General features: G+C 39.4%; 1 protein-coding gene across 24 annotated transcripts in view; it reads left to right on the forward strand.

The window, feature by feature from the left end:
• Positions 1 to 20992, forward strand: part of AIG1 (androgen induced 1) — a 284671-nt gene that overhangs the window by 127059 nt on the left and 136620 nt on the right. For 3 of the 24 annotated variants that reach the window (NM_001366359.2, NM_001366356.2, NM_001286589.2), the window contains one exon: positions 1358 to 4326. The exons of 20 other annotated variants lie outside the window; for them this stretch is intronic. In NM_001366359.2, the coding sequence (NP_001353288.1) occupies positions 1358 to 1372 (15 nt within the window). In that variant the 3' untranslated portion in view covers positions 1373 to 4326. Of the gene's footprint in view, positions 1 to 1116; positions 4327 to 20992 lie in introns of those variants that run through there. One more of the 24 variants, NM_001286588.2, reaches the window with a different exon arrangement.

Here is a 20992-nt window from a genome sequence, read left to right on the forward strand (position 1 = left end):
ATTCCTGGCATTTTTGATTATTTTCCTTTTCATTCAAGCAAGGATGTTTTTCTCCTATTGTTTTTACCATCTCTATATCTGTATCCAGGAACTGAGCTTACAGCTAATGATCTAATTCAGATATGTGTAAACCTGGGTATAATAATTAGCCCAGATTGGTGGAAACGTTTCCCCTTTACGCAACCCATTTCATCCTTATCAAGTACATTAATTCATTGGCTCTGGTAATATAGCTAATTACCCTGTATATTCAGGTGCTGCTGCTGATATTGCTGCTATCTCCATGTGCTGGGATAAACAGACTGTTGTTAGTAAACATTCCTTCTGATACCTACCTTCCGCCATCACTACGCACGTACTAATATGTCTTTTTTGCTCTGTTCTTTTTCCCACAACAGTTTAACCTAAAAAGGGCCACTTCATTTCCTTAGGCTGCACTTCTAATGAATGCAGACATTTGAAAGGGTCCTGAACCGGATAACCTTTCGAGTTTTCTCCAGTTTTATTATTCTGTGAAGACAGTTTGGTGTAAATGATTTAAGAGGTTAGTCAGAATGGAGTTCTCTGTTCAAATGATCTTCTTAAATTTCTGTACTGAGCTCTACTCATAGGAAACGTGGAGCTTGTTGTGGGATTCACAAGGTTGCCCTTGCAAGTACAGAATACCGTGCCTGCCACACAGTAGGTCCAATAAATAAAACAAAATTAAACAAAGTTAATTTAAACAAAATTAAAGCCTCCCTAGAGCTAATGATTTTAACTTATTACCATATAATAACTAGCAAGTTAGTGTCAATCTCAATCTAAATTTTCAAGGAAAACTGCCCCGGTAGAAATATTGTATTTTTATTAGCACTGAATTTGTACTCCTAACAAAAAATTAATGAAATTCCTTAAAAGCTGATATAAAATGTAAATTACTTATCCTTGGACAAAGAATTCAGATCTTCCTTATTTATTGTTAAGAATTCCCCCTTCATCATACCTATTTGAAAGATCTTGGCTTAAACTGAGAATTTGACTGCTAATATTCACACATATGGCAAATATGAACTAATCAGACCACAGATATTTTGCTGCATTCCATGGTGTCTCATTTATTTGTTTAATTTGCAGCTATAGCAACTAGATTCCACCACTTTGGGCTTTTACACAGAACTACAGTATGATCAGCTTGGTTGAAGTTTGGCACTCGACACTCTGCTCAATTGAAGACATATGCACAAAATCACTTACCACATTTTTTAACCTGTTTTTCACACTGGGTAGGCCTGTAATATTTGCATAAAAATATGAAAAGCAACCTTCTGCAGGGAGAGAAGGCAATTAAAAGATGTTGCGACCTTTCTTTCTGCAGCATTTCAAAGCTTAAAGTTTTCTTGGCACGCTTTTCAAACGCCCATCTGACTTTGAAGCAGGCTGCCTCTCCACAGAAAGCTTGCTCCAGCAATGACTAAAGGATTGACCTGGTGCCATGCATGCTGCTCTGCACAAGAAGGACATTTGGAAATGACCTTGAAGCGAAGTTTTGCCAAGTTGATGAAATACGGGCCTTCAAGAAGTGCCATTTCTCAAGCGATGTACAGAAGGGTATCCGCAGCATTGTCAAAAATTACCCCTTAATTTGGTGTTGGATGAACATGAATTTTTAACCTCCATAAGGAATGATACTTGCTCTTGATTTTATTAGTTGCATTTTGTAACAGGTTGGAAAAATTAGGTAATGGAGAACTTTGGCATACCACTTTTGTTTCTTTTAGGTGATTTTTAAAAAACATTTGCTGAAGGAGAGGTTGATGCTCAAAGGGTACAGTGATAAATGGAGAGACGGGAGTTTAAAATGAAGGATAAGCCGCAAATGAGGATGAAGTTAATGGATAGAGAAAAGATGGGAGGAAGAGGTATCTCTCTTTACTCGTAAGCTGCCCATCGATATGATTTAGACTCTAGGAGAGGGGCGTTTCTTTCCTCAGTAGGCACACTCATAGAGTAAACTGTTGCCGCTGTTTAAACATGTTAATTGATGTTGACACCAGTTGTTGCTATACAGTTTTCCATTTTACTGAGCGATGTATTTATGTTGCTGCATAATGTCGCCTGATTGCACTTCTCATGCTGGTGAAGTTGGCTGACATTTCAGGCTCTGGATAACATGAAGCTGTGCTTTAACCTTATTTGGAAGTCAGGGTTAGAGTGGCACTGGAAGGTCTCCTTCAGCTTCCCTTCCTGTGACCTGCCTACTATAACCCTGGCAAGGCTGAGACAGTCCAAGTTTGGGGCAGTCAAGGTGGGACAGCAGAAGATTTCAGGGTACAAGTCATCTATTCTCTTATGCCAGCTCTCAGATTTGTATATAAAATCTGATTCTACACTTCTTTTAACAAATAATAAATAAATAAATAGGACCATCCAACCCCTCTAGAGCTCTCTAAGGAGACTGTAGAAGACTTGTGGCCACTCTCATTTTAAAGATTCTAATAATCTCCACAAAGTAATCCTGGGAAACATACATCTGTAAGACCAGGGAAACATACTGGCAATAGCAACTTCCCAGAACATTCCTTTTTACACTGCCTGGGATTTTTCAATAAGAAATTTGGCATTTCTGTAAATTTAAAGTGTATTCAGTAAAATTAATGCGTTTTTTTCTTAAAAGCTCAAGCCTTCCAGACTCATCATTTTGTAGTTAAAAAAGTAAGCCATGCAACTGAGATAAAAGTCAAAGTTATAGATTATAACTGTTTGCACAACTGTTCACATTTTTAACTTTTTTTATTTTTTGGAGACTTTTTAAGAGTCTCACTGTGTCATCCAGGCTGGAATACACAGTGGCACTATCATGGCTCACCACACCCTTAAACTGCAGGGCTCAAGCAATCCTCCTGCCTCAGCCCCCCAAGTAGCTGGGACCACAGATGTGGACCACCACCCCTGGCTACTTTTTTAAAAATTTTTTTGTAGAGACAATGGGCTCACTATGTTTCCCAAGCTAGAGACAATGGCCTCATTATGTTTCCCAGGCTGGTCTCGAACTCCTGGCCTCAAGCGATCCTCCTGCCTCAGCCTTCCTGAAGTCCTAGGATTACATGCATGAGCTACCACACCCAGCCCCTGCTCACATTTTATATAGTAACTTATTTTAAGAATAGTAAAGTATTTGCAAAATAGTTTTTTAATACAGTAATTTATTATATATTGAAATCAAGCTTGATGATATTTCATTAGGTTTTGCTGAGTGTCATATGCTAAGTTATTTGCTTATGAATTTTTCTCCAATTGCCTGTATTTGGTAAGTTTGCATGGAAAGTTCTGACAGGAAACTCAGAAATATTTCATTGTTTTACCCTACTATCTTTTTTGATGTGTCTTAAAGTTGATTTGCTTTAAATTGCAGTATCATCCTTTTTTTCTGTACCTAAATGTTTTTAACTGAAGAACACAATTTCCCTCAAAACCCTCATCCCTAATTTAGAGCCCTCTTATATTAATATGAGTCATTTTAAATGTATTTCCTGAAACACTTCTCAACTTCGTAAATAAAAAAGAGATATATCTTAGTCCATTCAGGCTACTATAACAAAATAGCACAATTGGGTGGCTTATAAACAACATAAATTTATTTATCATAGTTCTAGAGCCTGGGAAGTCCAAGAGCTGGGTGCCAGCATGGTTGGGTTCTGATGAGGATCCTCTTCCAGATTACAGACTTCCAGCTTCTTGCTGTGTCCTCACATGGTGGAAGGAACAAGTAATCTCTCTGGAGCCTCTTTTAAAAGCCCACCAATCCCATTCATTGAGGATTCCACCCCAGTGACCTAATCACTTCCCAAAGGGCCATCTCCTAATGCTATAACCTTAGAGGTTAGGGTTTCAACATATGAATTTTGAGGGGACAGAAACATTCAGCCCATAGCAGGATGAGAAAAAGAAAGGAAAGTACAACAAAGAACATCAACCATAAGGAACACCATGACTTCTGATATTTAATATCATGGATCACAGATTGTAGGAGTCGAGAAACAGAATAAAAAGACAAGGCCCAGGCCCAGTGAGCTTTTGATGCTTGAGGCTCCTCATGCCCTTGCTCTCCCACTGACCTCAGTGCTCAGCACTGGCTTTCTTCTCCTGGTGATATTTTCCATTTATCTTTTGGTGTAAACATTTTAGAGATGAGAGAAGTAGGGAGCTTATCATTATTTAGTCTGATCAGACAATATCTTCACTTTTAAGTTATGTTCAGAATTTCATTGTCCTGTTCTTTTTAAGAATCATATGAGATTATTTTTGTGTATGTGAATAAACTATGAAGCATTTTCTTACAAAAAACTTCATTCAGTGTCCTGGCACAGATCCTCCAGTTGAACAGGGGCCTTCTTTCCAAAGCCCCAGGTAAGGACTTTCTCAACCTGTATTCTAACATGATGGGATGTTGTCTTCTTTGCTTTCCTATCTTATCATTGCAAACTCTCAAACATTTTCTACATTATCATCATTTATATTTATACTAGCACACATGTTTGAAAGCGATATGATCCCCATTGAAAACTCTTTTCCTTTAAAAGTCAATCCCATTTCTAGAGGTCTTGACAATGCTTTCTTCTTTCCATGCCATTGAAGTTGCATTAATGTTGGTCAACCCTGGATGGCTCGGGTCTCATACTCAGAGGTTCTGATGGATTCAGTCTGGGATAAGACTGAGACACTATCTATTTTTTTTTAATGCTCCCTTACATAGCTCCCTTACACGTTTGAAGATCTTTGAATTTGTTGGTCTCACAAGCATCCCTGGGGTTCAAAAAATGTGGGTATTGGAAGAACACAAAGTGAGGGAAGCTGTCCTGGTGATATCTAGATGTGAGCTGAATGGAGCTTATGGCAAAGAGACAAACCTGAGTTAATCTGCATAATCACGCACACTTAACTCTAATGGGTTAGTTATAGGGTGGTATCTCTGCCTCAGTTTCTATTGCAATAAAATACTGGCATCATCTCAAGATTCTCAGAAAATTTAATTAATATTAATATTTAATATAAGATTAAAAGCATACTACAAGTTTCAATTAGCATTAATCCTTTAAAATATGGAGTTAAATGATCTGTAACTAATTAAAGACTGCAGTTAACAGGGGACATGAGTTTTTTCTGGGTTATATGAAACAAAATATAAATCTTTTATATAACTCAATTTCCTACAGAAAAAAAACTTACTTGTCAGTGGGATTTTAAAGTTTTATTTTATTTTCTTGGATCTCATTACTTTTCCATGAATCCTATAAGCAGAATTACAATGAGGTGAGTCATAGACTTAACACTTTTTTGGAGTTTCTTCTGCCAAAGCAGCTTGAAATATAGAGGATTTTCAAAAACTGTGTTTGGGGAACATGGGAAGGTATGGGAAAGAAAGGAAGGGTGGGAGTCTAGGAGGAAAGGAGGAAGAAGGGAAAGAAAGGGAAAGGGAGAGGAAGGAAGGACACAAAACATTTTACTTTAGATTACATTTAAAAAATTTTAATGACATTTATAAAGGTAAAACTTTCCTGGTATCTCATTTGCATGTTTCAGACAACCCTGAGGTGCAAATGAATTTGGGTTTCAAAAGTTCATTCATGAGCCAGTTATTTGGAACTGGAAACATGTTTCCCCACGAAAGTTTTGTTATATAAGTGGTAGTTCATTTTTGAGGCTAGTTCCCAAACTCTCCTCATTCTGTTTTGAAGCTGAATTATCATGCATTTACAATGATAAACAGTAGATTATACAGTTGAAAACTTGTAGATGTAAAAAACATAAAAGTGATAAAATCAATTGTTTAATTGCTTTAAACTTTTAACTTCAGTGCTGGTGCTGGAGGGAAAACAGATTTAATTTGAGGAGTCTGAGGATGTTCAAGACATCTAAGGTTGATATTTGAGAGCATCTGTCAGAGAAGCAGCAGCCATTCTCTCGGGAGGGCCTCTGCCGCCATGCATGTGCTTCAATCTGGTCACTAAAAAGCCACATCCTTAGACTGAAGGAATAAGTCCTCAACAAAAATGCCTTCTTTTCTTCCTAGGCCAGGCATGGTGGCTCACGCCTGCAATCCCAGCACTTTGGGAGGCCAAGACAGGTGCATCACTTAAGGTCAGGAGTTCAAGCCCAGCCTGGCCAACATGGTGAAACCCCATCTCTACTAAGAATACAAAAATTAGCCGGGTGTGGTGGCACATGCCTGTAGTCCCAGCTTCTCGGGAGGCTGATGCAGGGGAATCGCTTAAACCCAGGAGGTGGAGGTTGCAATGAGCCAAGATCGTACTACTTGCACTCCAGCCTGGGCAACAGAGCGAGACTCCATCTCAAGAAAAAAAAAAAAAAGCCTTATTTTTTTCCTGTAACCAGTATCAATGGAGCACATATTATGGCTAGTGCTCCTCACTATTTATGCTAGCAGGCAAAACAGAAAGAACTCCTGTCCTTGTGAGTTTATAATCTAGTGAAGGAGACAAATATCCAAATAACTGCACAAGTAGATGACCTATGATCCATCCATTTTTATAAAAAGTTGTTGTATGAACATTCAAGTCCAAACAAATTTACAAGGAATAATGATGACACACAGAGGGTGGATCTGGAGAGTGGAGTACATAAATCTTTAAGTAACTGCTAGGGGCCAGCCACTTCCATATGCTGTCACATTTGTTCCCTAAGTAGCCCTGAGGGGGAGGAATCATCACCACCATTCCACAGGTGAGGAGCTGAGACTCAAAGGAGTTGAGGAATCTGTCCATGATGGTGCAACCAAGAGCCTGAGTTCAAATCAAGTGTGTCCAGCTCCAGGCACTTTCTGCCCATCTAAACTGCCTGCTCTGCAAAACCACTCTGAAGAGATTTTCTATTATTTTACTCAATATGAGTGTATCCATGCAATAATCTCTTTCTAAAATTTAGTGATAGAAGCCATATTGCCTCACCTGATACTGATATGTTCCTTTCTGTTAATAAGAGCTGTTTCCACTTCTCCTCTGACACGGTTAGTGCCTTTAAGCCGTAGCCAGCCTATCTGTGGCTTCCAATACAGTTTTCTGTCTTTCATTCCTACCATATATTTTGTCTGATTCTTCATTTTGTCTTGACTTTCACCACCCTGAGCCTTTTATTGCAAGCTACCTTGACCTTTTGAGAAGTAGTGAGAATATATAGAAAAGAAATAGACTTCTGTGGTGTAAATTCCACAAAGCTCTCTTTTTATATCCTCCACATGACCTAGAACAGGGCCTTGCACTTAGAAGTGAACAATAACTATTGGTTGTTAAATGATCATAGCAATAGCAATTCTGAAGGACAGTTCTGCTTATTTTAAGGACAACCAAGAAGTTGATGGCTCTGGCTTTATATGTGAACTTCATCATAAAATGTACTTACTGCTTTCCTATTCCTTAATAGAGATTTGTCTCTTGTATTTTCTTCTGTTTACCACTCATAAATGGAATGTGAAGGACAATGATCACAGCTCACTTGCGTCACATTCCTCCCTCTTGCTGTGCTAAGCCCTTTTAGATAGTATTTATTGAATCCTCACAACCTGATTATTATCCCATTTCATGGAAGGGCATACTGAAGGTTAGAGAATTTCAGGGGTTTAGGAGGAAAGTGAGGAAATAAGCTTTCTCCTGATGATTCAGCAAGAAATAGGAAAAAAATAGGGGAAGAAAAAGGATATATATTTCAGTATAGATGAGAGATACAAATTGCTTTAAGTATAATCAGTAAAATGTAGGAGAGGCTGGAGAAAGTCACAAATGATTTATGAGGGCATGATTCTTCCTGCTTATCCCCTGTATATTAGTCCACTCTCACACTGCTATAAAAATACTACTGGAGACTAGATAATTTATAAAGGAAAGAGATTTAATTGACTTACAGTTCTGTATGGCTGGGTAGGTCTCAGGAAACTTACAATCATGGCAGAAAAGGAAGCAGGCGTGTCTTACATGGCGGCAGGTGAGAAAGAGCAAGCATGTGAAGGAAGAACTGTCAAACACTCACAAAACCATTAGATCTCATGAGAACTCACTCACTATCACGAGAATAGCATGGGGCAAACTGCCCCCATGATCCCATCACCACCCACGAGTTCCCTCCCTCGACACGTAGGGGTTATGGGGATTACAATTCCAGATGAGATTTGGGTGGGGACACAGAGCCAAACCAAATCGCCCTATTATGTTGATGAGCACGGAAAAGTCCTCTGCAAACTGCTGTTTTTAAATATGAGACATTCTCTTGTCAGGTGATCATAACTTGGGTTGACTTATACATTTCTCGAATCCATCTATTTATTTGGATAATTTCAAGTTGAGTAGTTTATGTGTGGATAAAAACCTAAAGGTCTTCTCTATGGTTTCTCTGGCCTGGCTTGTGTTTTTGGGAGTCCCCCAAGATGCTGTAACCCCAGTACCCCTGGAGAACCTGAACGTGTGCTTGATGTCTCCACGTCACGGCAGGTGGCCCCCAGCATGCTGCCTGTCATCACTGTCCCCGATGCTGTCCCGCAGCAGCACCCCAAGGCTCTCTGGGCACATCTGCAGCTCTCTAGACCAGAACCATAAAGAAACAAGGTTCTCTCTGTCTAGTCCCACTGGAAAGAGGGAGAAGCCCCATTGTGAGCAGTACTACGGGGGAGTCCCTAGAAAGTGGGCCTCACCCAAAGAATGAAGAGGAGTCATAGTAAGAGATTTACCCATTCATGGAGATTGGCCCAACACATATTTATTTAACCCCTTGTTTGTGGGATTGTTCTGGATACTGACTGTGTTCCTCTTGAGAAAGAACAGCCAATAAAAGAGGGGAAATTAAAGCTCCTTGGAAGGGTGGAGAAGTGAAGAACTCTGGGACCACTCTAAAGGCTGACGGTGGGAGTTTAGGGTGGCTATGGTGATTTAGGGAGCAATTTCTGTTTCATGCTGAGTCTAGGGAACTTGGAATATTTACATATAGCTGGAAGAGGAGGTAAAGGTGGAGTATAGCTGGAGGTGTGGTTAGAGAAATAAGCAGGAGTTCAGATCCTGGAGACTCCTCCATACCAAAAACTAGTTTAGGTTTTACCCTCTAGGAAATAAGAAGCAAGGCTAAGTTGTGTGAGTACAATGATTAGTTTACACACTGGAGAAATGGGAAACAAAGGAAACGTGACTCAGTGTTATCCTGATAGCTTTGGGGAGTTGTTGAAGAGTTTTAAACAAGGGGAAGATGGGGTCAGATGAACATTTTAGAAGGCTTCCTTCTCCAGGGCTGCGGGGAAACGTTGACAAGCACAGGCTGGATTTAGGAAGGAATAGAAGAAGGCTGAGAGTGGAACCTTGGCGACTGGCCACCCTGAGGGAGCACGGGGGAGGACACAACACAGGGAAGCTGGGAGGGAGCCCTCGCCAGGGAGGGAGAATATCTTAGGGAGGAGGAGTGCAGGGTAGCTGAGGAGAGCACTTCCAGAAGGAGGCAGGGCTGGCAACGTCCTGGGCACACGGAGGTCTGACCAGACAAGGACAGTGGCTGGCACAGGTGCTCCCGAGTGCCAAAGTGACCACAAGAAAAGCCGCCAGAAGAAAAGAGGAGCCTTGCCTGGAAAACAAAAAGCAATTAAACATCTTGTCATGTGGCATGTTTTTAGGGGAAAGATGATGGATGGCTTCATCTTTTACTTGATCCCGAAGCAAGGGCAGATTGAGAAGCAGAGTCTGAGGGACAGATGATTTTCCCCTCTGGCCTTGGCTCCTTCTGACCTTCTATTTTCTCCCAGTGAAAGAGGTGCTGTTTCTGGCCTGTGGCCTTATTTAGCAGGCTCAGAACTTTTTCCCAGCTTCATGATAATGGCCTTTGGTGCTCTTTCTACTGCTTAATGTACTGTCATCCAGAATAATCCTTTTCTATATTGATCTGAATGGTAATCTGTAAATAAAAAGGAGAAATCATAGGAGAACTTGCAGAAAAATGGGAAAAAGTAGTTACTTGTTTTGCACATTTCTGGAGGGGAGGAGAGAGAATCTTTAAAATAATCTCCCATTTGTGCCTTCTCATTTGTCAGCACATCAAAAGCAACAAAAGCAACACACACACACACACACACACACACACACACACACACACACACACCCCAATTTGATAAGTTGGAAAACTGGCTGCACGACTTAGAGTATATGTCTTTCTTTAAAATTTTCTGAAATCTGATGTGGATATTTAAGAGCTTTCAGAAATTTCCATAGGCATGCCATTAGAGATAAGCCATTTGATTCTGAGGGGATTCAAAAAGGGAAATGTACTTTATCTAAAGAGATGAAATTGGACTCAACTTGGAGAAATGGTTCTCTGACCAGATGTCATTTAAAGGCATTGGACTTTGGGCTCCAGGCGTTGACTGTTTCTCAAGATAAATATGCATCTAGGAACCAAGAAGGGCATTTTCAAGGATTGCTGTGAGTTGGTATTATAATGTGCTAAGCACACCCCTGACGTCTTTGGAGGTCTGAGCATACAAATCAGACATAAATGCTTCTCAGTTCCTTCTCATAATTTCTCTGATCTTACTGGCAATAAAAAAAAGAAAAAAAAACTCTTCAGGAGCATAAAATGTTATTGAATTTGCAGCAGTCGTCATGGTTACCTGCATAGTTTCATTGCTTTATTAATGTGTAATTCCTCTTATTTCTGGAAATATCATTATAGTGAAACATAATAGTCTGCAGCCTCTTAGCAAGTTTCTCTGTGTATCTCAGAGATCCTGACAATGGCTGTGATGAATGTGTGTGTGGTTTCCGGGTCACTTGCATGCTGATGATCCAGCAACTGGGACATCATTGTTTAGGAAAAGACAACTTGAAGCTAATGACTCTTGAGAATCCCTTGAAAGTTCAAATGTTTCTCGACACAAAAGTGCTTTTTTTTTTTTTCCTGTAGGACAGTAATCCAAGGCTTTACTCTTTTTCTAACTAAAATAATTTATGTTTTTGTACATCAAAACTTTTTAAAGCAATTATTTTTACTTACTAAAGTCACTTTGAAGTGCTCAGGAAACTTTTTCTGATCAATTCTTTTTAAAATGATCTTTATTAAATTTGTTTCTTGTATCATAGAAGGGCTTTTGGGAGACACTGTTAGTAGAGGTTTTGAGCAAGTTTTTCTAAGTGTATTCTCCCACTACTCAAGAAGAAGCTAAATAAAATAGTTCATTAACTTATCTCTCAGGCCAACTGCTTAGGGCATACTGATCCTTATACTCATTTCTCTTTTTCTTGGGCACTCAACCAGAATATATTTTTCAGCATCCCCTGCAGTTGGTTCTGGCCATGAAAATCATGAGACAATGGAATGTGAGTGGACATTATGTAATAATTTGCAGATCTGTCCCATAAACACCTCCCACAGATCCTCTAGTCCCTTATTTCCAGGTTGGTTGGTAAGTCTGCCAGCCTAGATCCTTGAATAATTGGGTAGAACAGAGCCTCACTGTAGGTCAGGAACATCTGTTGTTAGAGAAAGGAGACAAACCCTCTGAGATGTGAGGGTTGTGTATTACATCAGCTGGTATTGCCCTAACTGTTGCATTGCTTGTCAAGCATTTCTTCTAAGTGGGCCATATGATCTTTGGGAGATAGATCATATTTTTCATCCACGAGTATCTCCCATAACTTCTTTCATAGCCTTTAAAAAAGAAGTTGGTGTTGTATACCCCAGGACTTTCCTATCAATGTCCTGTGATAATGTTGCTGTTTTGGAAGAGTCCTGGAGACTTGAATGGCTACAGCAATAGTGGATATTTTGAAAATTATCAGACCCTGTGACCTATGTGCAAAGAGAGCCAAAGGAAAGGAAATTAATCTTTTCTGGATACTTCTGTGTACCAAGTACTATGTTCAGTCCTCTATTTACTCTCTATAATTGATCTTCTATGAACAGCTATCATTCCATTTTACAGATTTTTAAGGTGTCATATACTTTAAATAACTTCTTCATAGCTAGGAGGTGGCGAGGGAAAATGCAAACAAAAGTTTGCCTAGAACCAAACCCAGCCAGCCTTTCTACTTTGCTGTTTTCCATGGCGTATGCTCAGTTAATGTCTGCTGATCACCATCTCCAGGACAGAATCTGACAGCTAGTAATAATTGGAAACATATGCAGACAACGTTTGATTATCTGTGGTGTTGGGAATAGATGCTCTCATTAGTTGTTAGAAAAATTATAAAACTGACATTGTTGAGTTTTACATTCTATCTTAAGATATCAGAACAGCTGTTTTAACAGATACCAAAATAACAGTCGTTTAAAATCGATGGTCTGGAGGTTGGCAGGCCAGTTCTTCCTCATGAGGTCATCTAGGGCCTGAGGCTCTTTCATCTGGTGGCTTGTGGATCTTCTGAGGTTGTTCCTCATCTGCATAGTGGCAGATGGCCTACCACACCACGTCTGCATTTAAGCCATTAGGAAAGAGGGGATGAGAGGGAAGGGCACATTTCTTTCCAGTTGAGGGCATGACCCAAAAATTGCACACATCACTTTTGCTCCCAAAAGTTGCAGGGTTGCACGGACATCTAACTGCAAGTGAGTCTAAGAAACGTCGTCTGTAAGTGCCAGTATGTCTATTCTTGTGGAAAAAGGAGAAAAGAGAGATTGTGGGACAAATAGCAGCCTTTGCCATACCTTCTTTCCTGTCCCAATCTTTGATAAACCTACAAATAAGAAAGATCCAAAACTGCAGTAGCAGAAAAGGGAAGGAAATGAATCATGGAAACTAGGTAATTCAGAAATTGAAGGTCTCCTTTCTCCTTAACCTCTTCCAGTGCATATGCTAAAAGAATCAACAGTTCGTTTCTTGCATTAAATTGCTTTAAAATAAGCTATAACTATTAAATCAGTATTCGTTGAATAAAATGATTGCAATGAATTGAGAATATTTGAACAAAGACTAGATGTTAAATCATATTAAATGATTAGAATTAATTTTGTTAGGTTTGACATGTGATTAAATTACAAAGCAAAACCTCATCTGGTAGAGACATTTACTAAGATATACATAAGTGAAATGATATGATGTCTGAATTTGCTTTAAAATACTCAAGCAAAAGATGGGGGGGTGATGAATAGTTGAAATTAAATCGGGAAAAATGTTAGTTGTTGAAGCTGGATGATGGGTTCATGGGGGTTTATTATGCTATTCTTTCTACTTTTATGTGTATTTGAAATATTCCATAATAAAAAGTTAAATAAATACTTGTTCCAAGAAACAAAAATAATTTTTGGCTGTGCCCTGATTTTCATATGAGCTCATTTCTGTACTCCAGTTAAGTGCTTTCTTAAGTTTCCAGTGTATTATTTATTCTGCATGCATATACCCAGAAAACTTATTTTCATCTAAATAATTCATTAACAATTTGCTTTTGAGTCAACTAAGCAAGATTTTGGTGAGTGGCCGCTTCATCCAGTGATAGAAGGGATGTAAAAAGCAAGTAAGATAAGGCCCCTCTCAACAAGTTTAAAGTCGACTCAGGCAAATAAGACAGTGCCTTAGATAAATCTAATTTAAGAGAAGTATACAAGAAGGCTTAAATGTTAGGAGATCACATCAAATTAGAAGGATCAGGAAGAGTTTCCTGGATTAGATATTATAAGCTTTAAAGGAAGGGTAGGCTTTTGACAGATGGAAGTGGTGGGGAGAGTAGGACCACCAGGAGAAAGGCTCCAAGCCAAAGAACATGTGATAGTTTCCTGGTGACAGGAAAGAATGATATGGTTTTGAGTGTGGGTATCTGGATGTCTCATTAGAGTAAATCAGGAAGTAAAGAGGATCTGACTGAGAAAATTGATACTTTTTATAAGGATGTATAGTTTTGAGACACTGGTGCATCTCAAGATGAGATGTTCATCTCAAAATACAGTATTGGAGCACAGAGAAAGGTTAGCGTGGATAGTCAGCTGCTGAATTTGAAAGTTGAAGCTGTAGGTAGAGTATGAGTTTACTACTGAAGAGAATAGAGAAAATATTTTTAAGCCAGTTTTATTGGAGTAGAAAATGGAAATTATGACAACATCATTGTGAAAATGACATAATGATTTCAGTTCACATTAAAGATACTATGAGTCACTGGTGTAACAACAGCTGTATTCCCTGCCCACCCCCACTACTGAATTCTCAGTACTTCCTTATCCACACAGTGCCCCCATATCTCTACTTTATTTCTCCTTTCTCCCTCACTCTAAGCTTCTCCAGAGTTGTCAACCCAGAATGTTTCCACTGCTTGACTTCCATTCATCTTTCAACCGACTCTGAATCAGAATTCCTTTACCACGCCACTGTAACTGTTAGTTATCAGTGACCGCCGTGTTGACCAATTCCATGAACACTTTTTACTCCTCAGTTCCCTTGACTCTCTGAGTAATGCTTGACCTATCAGGCAAGTCCCACTTTCTTGGAACTCTCTCTTCCTGGCCTCTGGTTTTGCTTTTCCGTTTCTTTGTAGGCTCCTCCTCTCCTGGACATTTACGTATTGTGTTGCCTCAGGACCATTGCTGGACTCTGCCTCTCTTCCTACAATCTCTTCTGGAGGGATTTCTTCCTACTCCACAGTTTCATCCCACAAAAGTCAACAAAGCACCCACATTTATATCTCATTTGAGTTCTAAACCTACCGAGTATCTCGTGGATTTCCCATAGACATTTCCTATGTAATACATCCATACTGAAATTTGGACTCCCACATCCCTCCCAAACCTATTTCCCGTCTCAGTAAATATCAGTCATCGCCATCTACCTTGCTGCTCAAGACAGTAAAGTAAATCATTTAGTTTGCAGAGAGTCCATGGGACAATTCTATCAGGAAGCCCAAGCAGATACTACTTTATTATGAAATATTCTTTGAACCCCAGACTGTTCCCAAAGTGGCTGAAGTTTGTAGTCCTTAAAAAGAAAAGTTCCCAAACTGAGTACAGTGGCTTGTGCCTGTAGTCCCAGCTATTTGGGAGGCTGAGGTGGGAGGATTGCTTGAGCCCTGGAGTTCGAGACTGTAGTGAGCTATGATCATACCACTGCACTCCAGCCTAGGTGACAAAGTGAGACTGTTTCAAAAAAAAAAAAATCTTAAAAATTAAAAAGGTAAATCTTTCTGATGTAACTTCATTGCTTCATAGCTGTTTGATTTAGGCACCAGTGCTAGCTTTAAATTTAAATCTGTGGTTGCCTTTGCGCTATATATTTTTAAAGGATATTGTGGGCTACTTATACTAAGAAGTTAAGCTCTTTGAGTCTGACCACACTTGGTTACAGACAGGACTATCCTCCGTGGGTCCCACAAGTAGAAGGGACCCTACGAATAATCTGAGAGATGCAGATGTTGCTCTTCTATCCATCAGATTAGAAATCCACCAGTGTGGACATCTCCAAAACCTTTACTATGCCCAACCTTTATTAACGCTTAATTCTCCTCTTTGTTACGGACCTGGGGATCCTTTCCTTCCTATCCTACTAGGTCTTGAGAAAATGAAATTAAAGTAGGCTTGCATTTTATTCAATCTGGAAAGGCACAATGATTTGGTGGAAAGATAGCCTGCTTCTAGTTCCACCTCAGGAACTAGCAAGTTAGTTGTAAACCTGATGAGTAGAGCCATCCTTACGTTTTTTCTGTACCTTCTTCCACATCAAACACATCAGAACAACGAACTCTGCTTGAGTATTTGCTTTGTGCCAGACACTGCCCTAAATAACAGATGAGGGAACTGAGGCTTAGAAAGTTAGTAAATGGCACAAAGATACCCAGTTAATGCAAACCCACAATTTAAATCCAGGCTATTCAAGTCTACTCTTACCAACTCTCTTATATCGTGTTGCCGAGAAACGACTTCTGGATTTCTTCTTCCTCTCATTCCTACTGTGCCATTGATGTAAGAGGTACCATCAATTTAATTTAATAACAGTTTTCAGGAAATAAAGTAAGCACTACCAAATCAAGTGTAGTTATAGTGGGCCTGCCTTTTAAAATTCTAACCAAGTTTTTTTCCTTCTTGGTAATTCCTTTTTTACTTCATGTCCCTGAAGCTAAAATCCTCAGGGACAGCTAATCACAAAAAAACAGGCAGATTCTTGGCTATTGACTTCTAAAATTGGGTCATGCAACTCATAAAAGATAGCCAGGAGCCAGGGTTGGTTTTTGATTTGGTTTGGTTTGAATTATAAGACAGAATTTGTTAAAGATAAACTTAAAAAAATTCTTTAATGTTTCCTTTGCATATCAAGGACTAAAGCCTGACAATTCTCACATCAACAGTAGAGTTTGGGGAGAATTAAGGATGATGTCAGAGAAGCTTCTTGTCCCAAAAGAGATTATGTTTTAGCTGCTGGCGGGAGGAGAATCTGCAGTTTAGGTGCTGAAGGACCCTGAGAAGGTTCTGCATTCCCTCGTGCCCCTGGAATGGGAGATCACTGAAACCCCAGAAGTGTTTTGAGAAATCCCAGCATATGGGGAACCTGGATTTGATTTCTAGAGCTTCACTTCCCGGGAGAGGAAGCAAGCAGCATCACAGAGGAGTGGAAGGCCGCAATCACTAGCGGAGGTGTCCCAGCAACATGGAAAATATTTTAAGATTCATGTCCCAAGAGGCTGCCCTGAGAGAGTCAGAAGGGCCTTGATAACCTGATGAGGGAACATCATTAGTAAATTTGATGTGCATTCTCTGTGCTGGAGGCTGTGGAAACAGAAACAATGTCTGCAGCAAAAGCAGTGTGGGTAGAAGTCTCCATCAAAGATGAGAAGGTAATGAACCAGATACCTCCCCTATGATGCCATGATACATATGGGCCTTCTTAGAATTACTATCCCAGGAAAAGATAAGGAAAGTTAGAACTCTAATTTGATCATGTTTAAATTCTGAATATGACTGCAAAATAACTGAACAAGATTTAATCTCTTGGAAATGGCTGTAGTTTCAGCAGCTGAATTACTGAAGGTCACATAGCTAGACAGTCCTGTGGCCAGGATTCTAGTCCAGGCAGTCTGACTTCACAGTCCATTCTCTAAACCTCCACACTGTTTTGTACTGTTCTATACTCTACTATCTCCATGTTTCCCACAGCCAGATGGAATAGTGGCTCGAGACCTTAAGTTAAATTACATTCAAGAAAGATAAAGGGTGATTACAAAATTCACCTTTTGACTTTCCACATTAATTTCAAGATGCATGTAAATTTCAGTAAAATGTTTTAGACTGGAAGAAGTTGAAGATATATTCACCTCTCTCCATCTCTACTACCAGTGCCTAATCTATGTCTTACCTAGACTGTGCCCTCTAAACTGGGGAGATTAGGCTTCTCTATGTACTTAGGAGCAAGAAAACTAGGACCAATGGATGGAAGCTTTAAAAACAGAATTCTGTATAGAATCAGAGAGAGTTTCTCACAGTCTCAGATATCCAGAGATAAAATGAATATCCTTGGTTGGATCCATGAGCCATATCCCTTGAGATGCTGTATCATGGATGAGACACCTACAACAAAGAAGGGACCTTATGAAGAAGAATTCGACAGAAGACATGGCTGGATGATTTTAGCCTTTTACGTCTCTTCCAATTTTGAAATTCTGCCACTTTAGAATGGAGGTTGTGAAAACCAAATTGCCTTGTGTTTGCAGAGTGGGAAGTGAGAAAATAAAAACAGTAGGTATAAAGTACTCTTTTAGAGATGGCTACCACTGAGGGAAGCAGAGTTTTATTGTATAACATGGTGGGACTGAGGGAAAATTTTAACACTGGGAAAAATTGAGCAGATTTGTAGATAGAAGAAGGAAGGGAATTAGTTTAAAAATGCAAAACTAAAGGTTAGAGAGGGCCCTGTTCCAGTATCCACTGTTGTATAATGTACTTCCTCAAAACTTACTGGCTTTAAACAATAATCACTTTGTTATAGCTTAGGATTGTGTTGGTCTGGAATTGAGGCAATGCTCAGCAGGATGATTCTTCTGTTCCACATGTGGATGACAGAGGTGACTCTGTGGTCTTTGGCTGACATTGTCTTGTGCCCTTGGTGGGAATGGCTGGAAGTCTGTGCTCAGCTAGAACTGTTGACCAGAGTGCCTACATGTGGCCTCCACAGCCTCTTAGGGTACTCTGACTTTTTTTGGCAGCTTGTAGTTCCCAGAGCAGTACTCCAGGAGGTGAATTCCACCAGCCTCTTAGGGTAGTCTGACTTTTTATTGGCAGCTTATAGTTCCCAGAGCAGTATTCCAGGTGAAACTACCAGGCTTCATAAGCCCTAGCCTCAGAAGGCCAGAGCATCACTTCTGCTGCTTCTTATTGGTCATCAGTCAAGTCCCTAAGGCCAGCTCAGATTCAAGCATAAGAACTAGATGCACCTCTCAGTGGAAGGAGTAGCAAAGAATGTATAGCCATCTTTCATCACCCATACAGACAATTGATAGAACGAGGTCCTGAACAATGTGCGGAGTCCAAATTGAGAGCAAAGGTAGAGTGATTATCTTTAGAATGGGGGAGGGACATGTCCACCTCAGAGATAAGGACAAAGAAAAGGAGTTCCAGAAGGTGGAAACAGAAATTTTGAGATGAAGATGAGGGAAAGGAGAAGGAGTCATTTCTACAGTTAAGTAATCCAAGCCTATCTAGTAGAAGAGGAGTTTCGCAAAATAAAAATTATGCTACCCACCATCCATGTCTTTTACCTCGGGGTTGTTTCCTCATTCTGATAATTTTGTTGTCACTGATTTTACCAGACATGTCTTCCACAGACTTCTGTCTGAAGACACTGTCTGCAAGATTTTTGGCTGACTTGTTCAATGCTCTTTGTGTACCAAACACATGTAGCACACCAAACTCTGGTGTAGTCCAGGGCAGTGGGGCAGGTAAATTGGCTTCCCTGGAAAATATGTCCATCTATGTGCCTTATTCCCAGTTCGTGCTTTTAAGGGATGGAGCACACCAGCCATGAACTAAGGCTGGAGTAGCAAAACATGAAATCTGCTTTCTACAAATTATCCAGATAATCTCTTCCAATCCCCTTCTGGAGGAAAAACAGAGCTGTATGAGGGTGACAGTCTGGCAGGTATTCAAAGCTGCAGTGACCATGGCTTGGCTCCTGTTGTATCCACAGAGCTGTTTGATTGGGTTAATTTATACAGTTTTTCCTGTATGAATCCTTTTGATAAGTATCTTTAGAAGCTTCTAATTCATTTTAAAGGAATGTTTCTCTTTGGCTTCATGTCTCATTCTTTTCACATTATATATTCTGGTGATAAATGATGGATCCATAAATACATTACCTTTGCTCAGTCAGTGTTTTCTGTTGTTGATGTAAAGTACACAAATTGGATTTGTTTCAGGATAGCTGAATTTGGAATATGACATTTTGCCAAGTCAGCATCACACTTGCCCATACAACACAGATGTGGATTTTGCAGTTGTTTTGTTTTTAAAATTGTATATGTCTGTGGTGCTATTGATTAATGTAATATTGCATTAATGTGCTATTACAACACTCTAGGGCATTCATGAGGTCTTTCAGCCAGCAGCAAAGAATTCCCCAAACAAAAGCTTTTAATAAAATACAGATTGCAGGGCAAAGAAAAGTATCAACCGTGAGAATTTATGGATAGCAGAAGTGCTTGAGGAATCAACTTTTGATGGCCTTGCCAATGGAAATACCGTGTAATTGTTATATTATTTCATTTCCCTCCAAATCATTAAAGATCATCTATATATCTATTCATTTGTTGAATCTGTGTTTTTAAATGACCAAGGTATTATGACTGTGTTGATCCATGACTTCTCTTTTTCTTATTAAGTTTCCACTTGCTCCAGTGCTTGTATAGACACACTGTCAGATCCAAAAGGTCAGCGAAGGCTGACACAACCACATGTGTGACATGGCATAAACTGCAGAAATTAAAATTGAATCCGTCACTGTCCATTGTAATAGCTGGCAGGCAACTTTCCACAATGCAGTGTTGATGTAATTCTGGCATGGAGTCATTCTGGATCTATTTTAAGTAACAACTACTTTTTTCCTTCTCAAGGTAGTTCTTAATCTTTAACCATTACATTTTCTCTATCACAAAAATCTGGAATAATATTTTTCTAAATCAATTAACTGATGTAAAATTTAAGTGAATAAAAATATCATTGGTATAATATACTCACCTTTGTAAATATAGGTGCCACTGCCAGCCTGCTAACAGAAAGACAAATCCAACTCCACTCATTTTCAGATTTCAGAGGTTGGTGGTAGTATTTTCAAATATCCATTTGATAAGAGAAGCAGAGGCAGATCTTTGCTTTTTTGGCATATGTCTACCATAGCCTTACAGTGGATTTAAAGTACAGAAAGTAATAGTTCTTTTAACCCTCTACAACTTGTGAGATCAGAAAGAAAGTAAAAAGATACAAAAACAAAACAAAAAAGCATAGAGGTCTTTAATTTAAAGAAAGTTTTTCTGTAACCAAATTTTATGAGTCAGCATTTTTATATCAATAATTTACGGCAATAATTATGAGATCATTAAGTTCAAGCATGCAGAAACCCATTTCATGGTCTTTGGTAATAGGGCTGATGGAGGCCAACTTAAATGAGCTAGGCCAGTGATTATAATAATATGCCTTCAGAAGTCCAACTAGTGTTGATGTTTAGAGTGGAGATAAAATAGAAGGCATTTCTCTTATATTTCAGTGCCTTTAGATCTGGACATTTTTTAATGGGCCCTGCAAAGTAAATGCCAATTAAGATGTCATAAGTAATATAAATTCAAGAGATATTAAGGTGCTGTCCCTGTATCTATAAGAGTGGTACATGGAGCATGTTGAGGAACAAGTGAGGGGAGTTGTATCACACCCTCCAGATATCTTCTTTTTGTGAATGCAGTTCTTTTCCCCTCCTTTGCCCCAGTTGCAATGACTTAAGACTTAGATTCCATTCCATGAGTGTCTTGCTAAAACCACCAGATAGAATACCTTCCATGTCCCAACTATACAGTCC

Source organism: Homo sapiens, chromosome 6 (assembly GCF_000001405.40).
Source record: "Homo sapiens chromosome 6, GRCh38.p14 Primary Assembly".
Classification (NCBI taxonomy): Eukaryota; Metazoa; Chordata; class Mammalia; order Primates; family Hominidae; genus Homo; species Homo sapiens.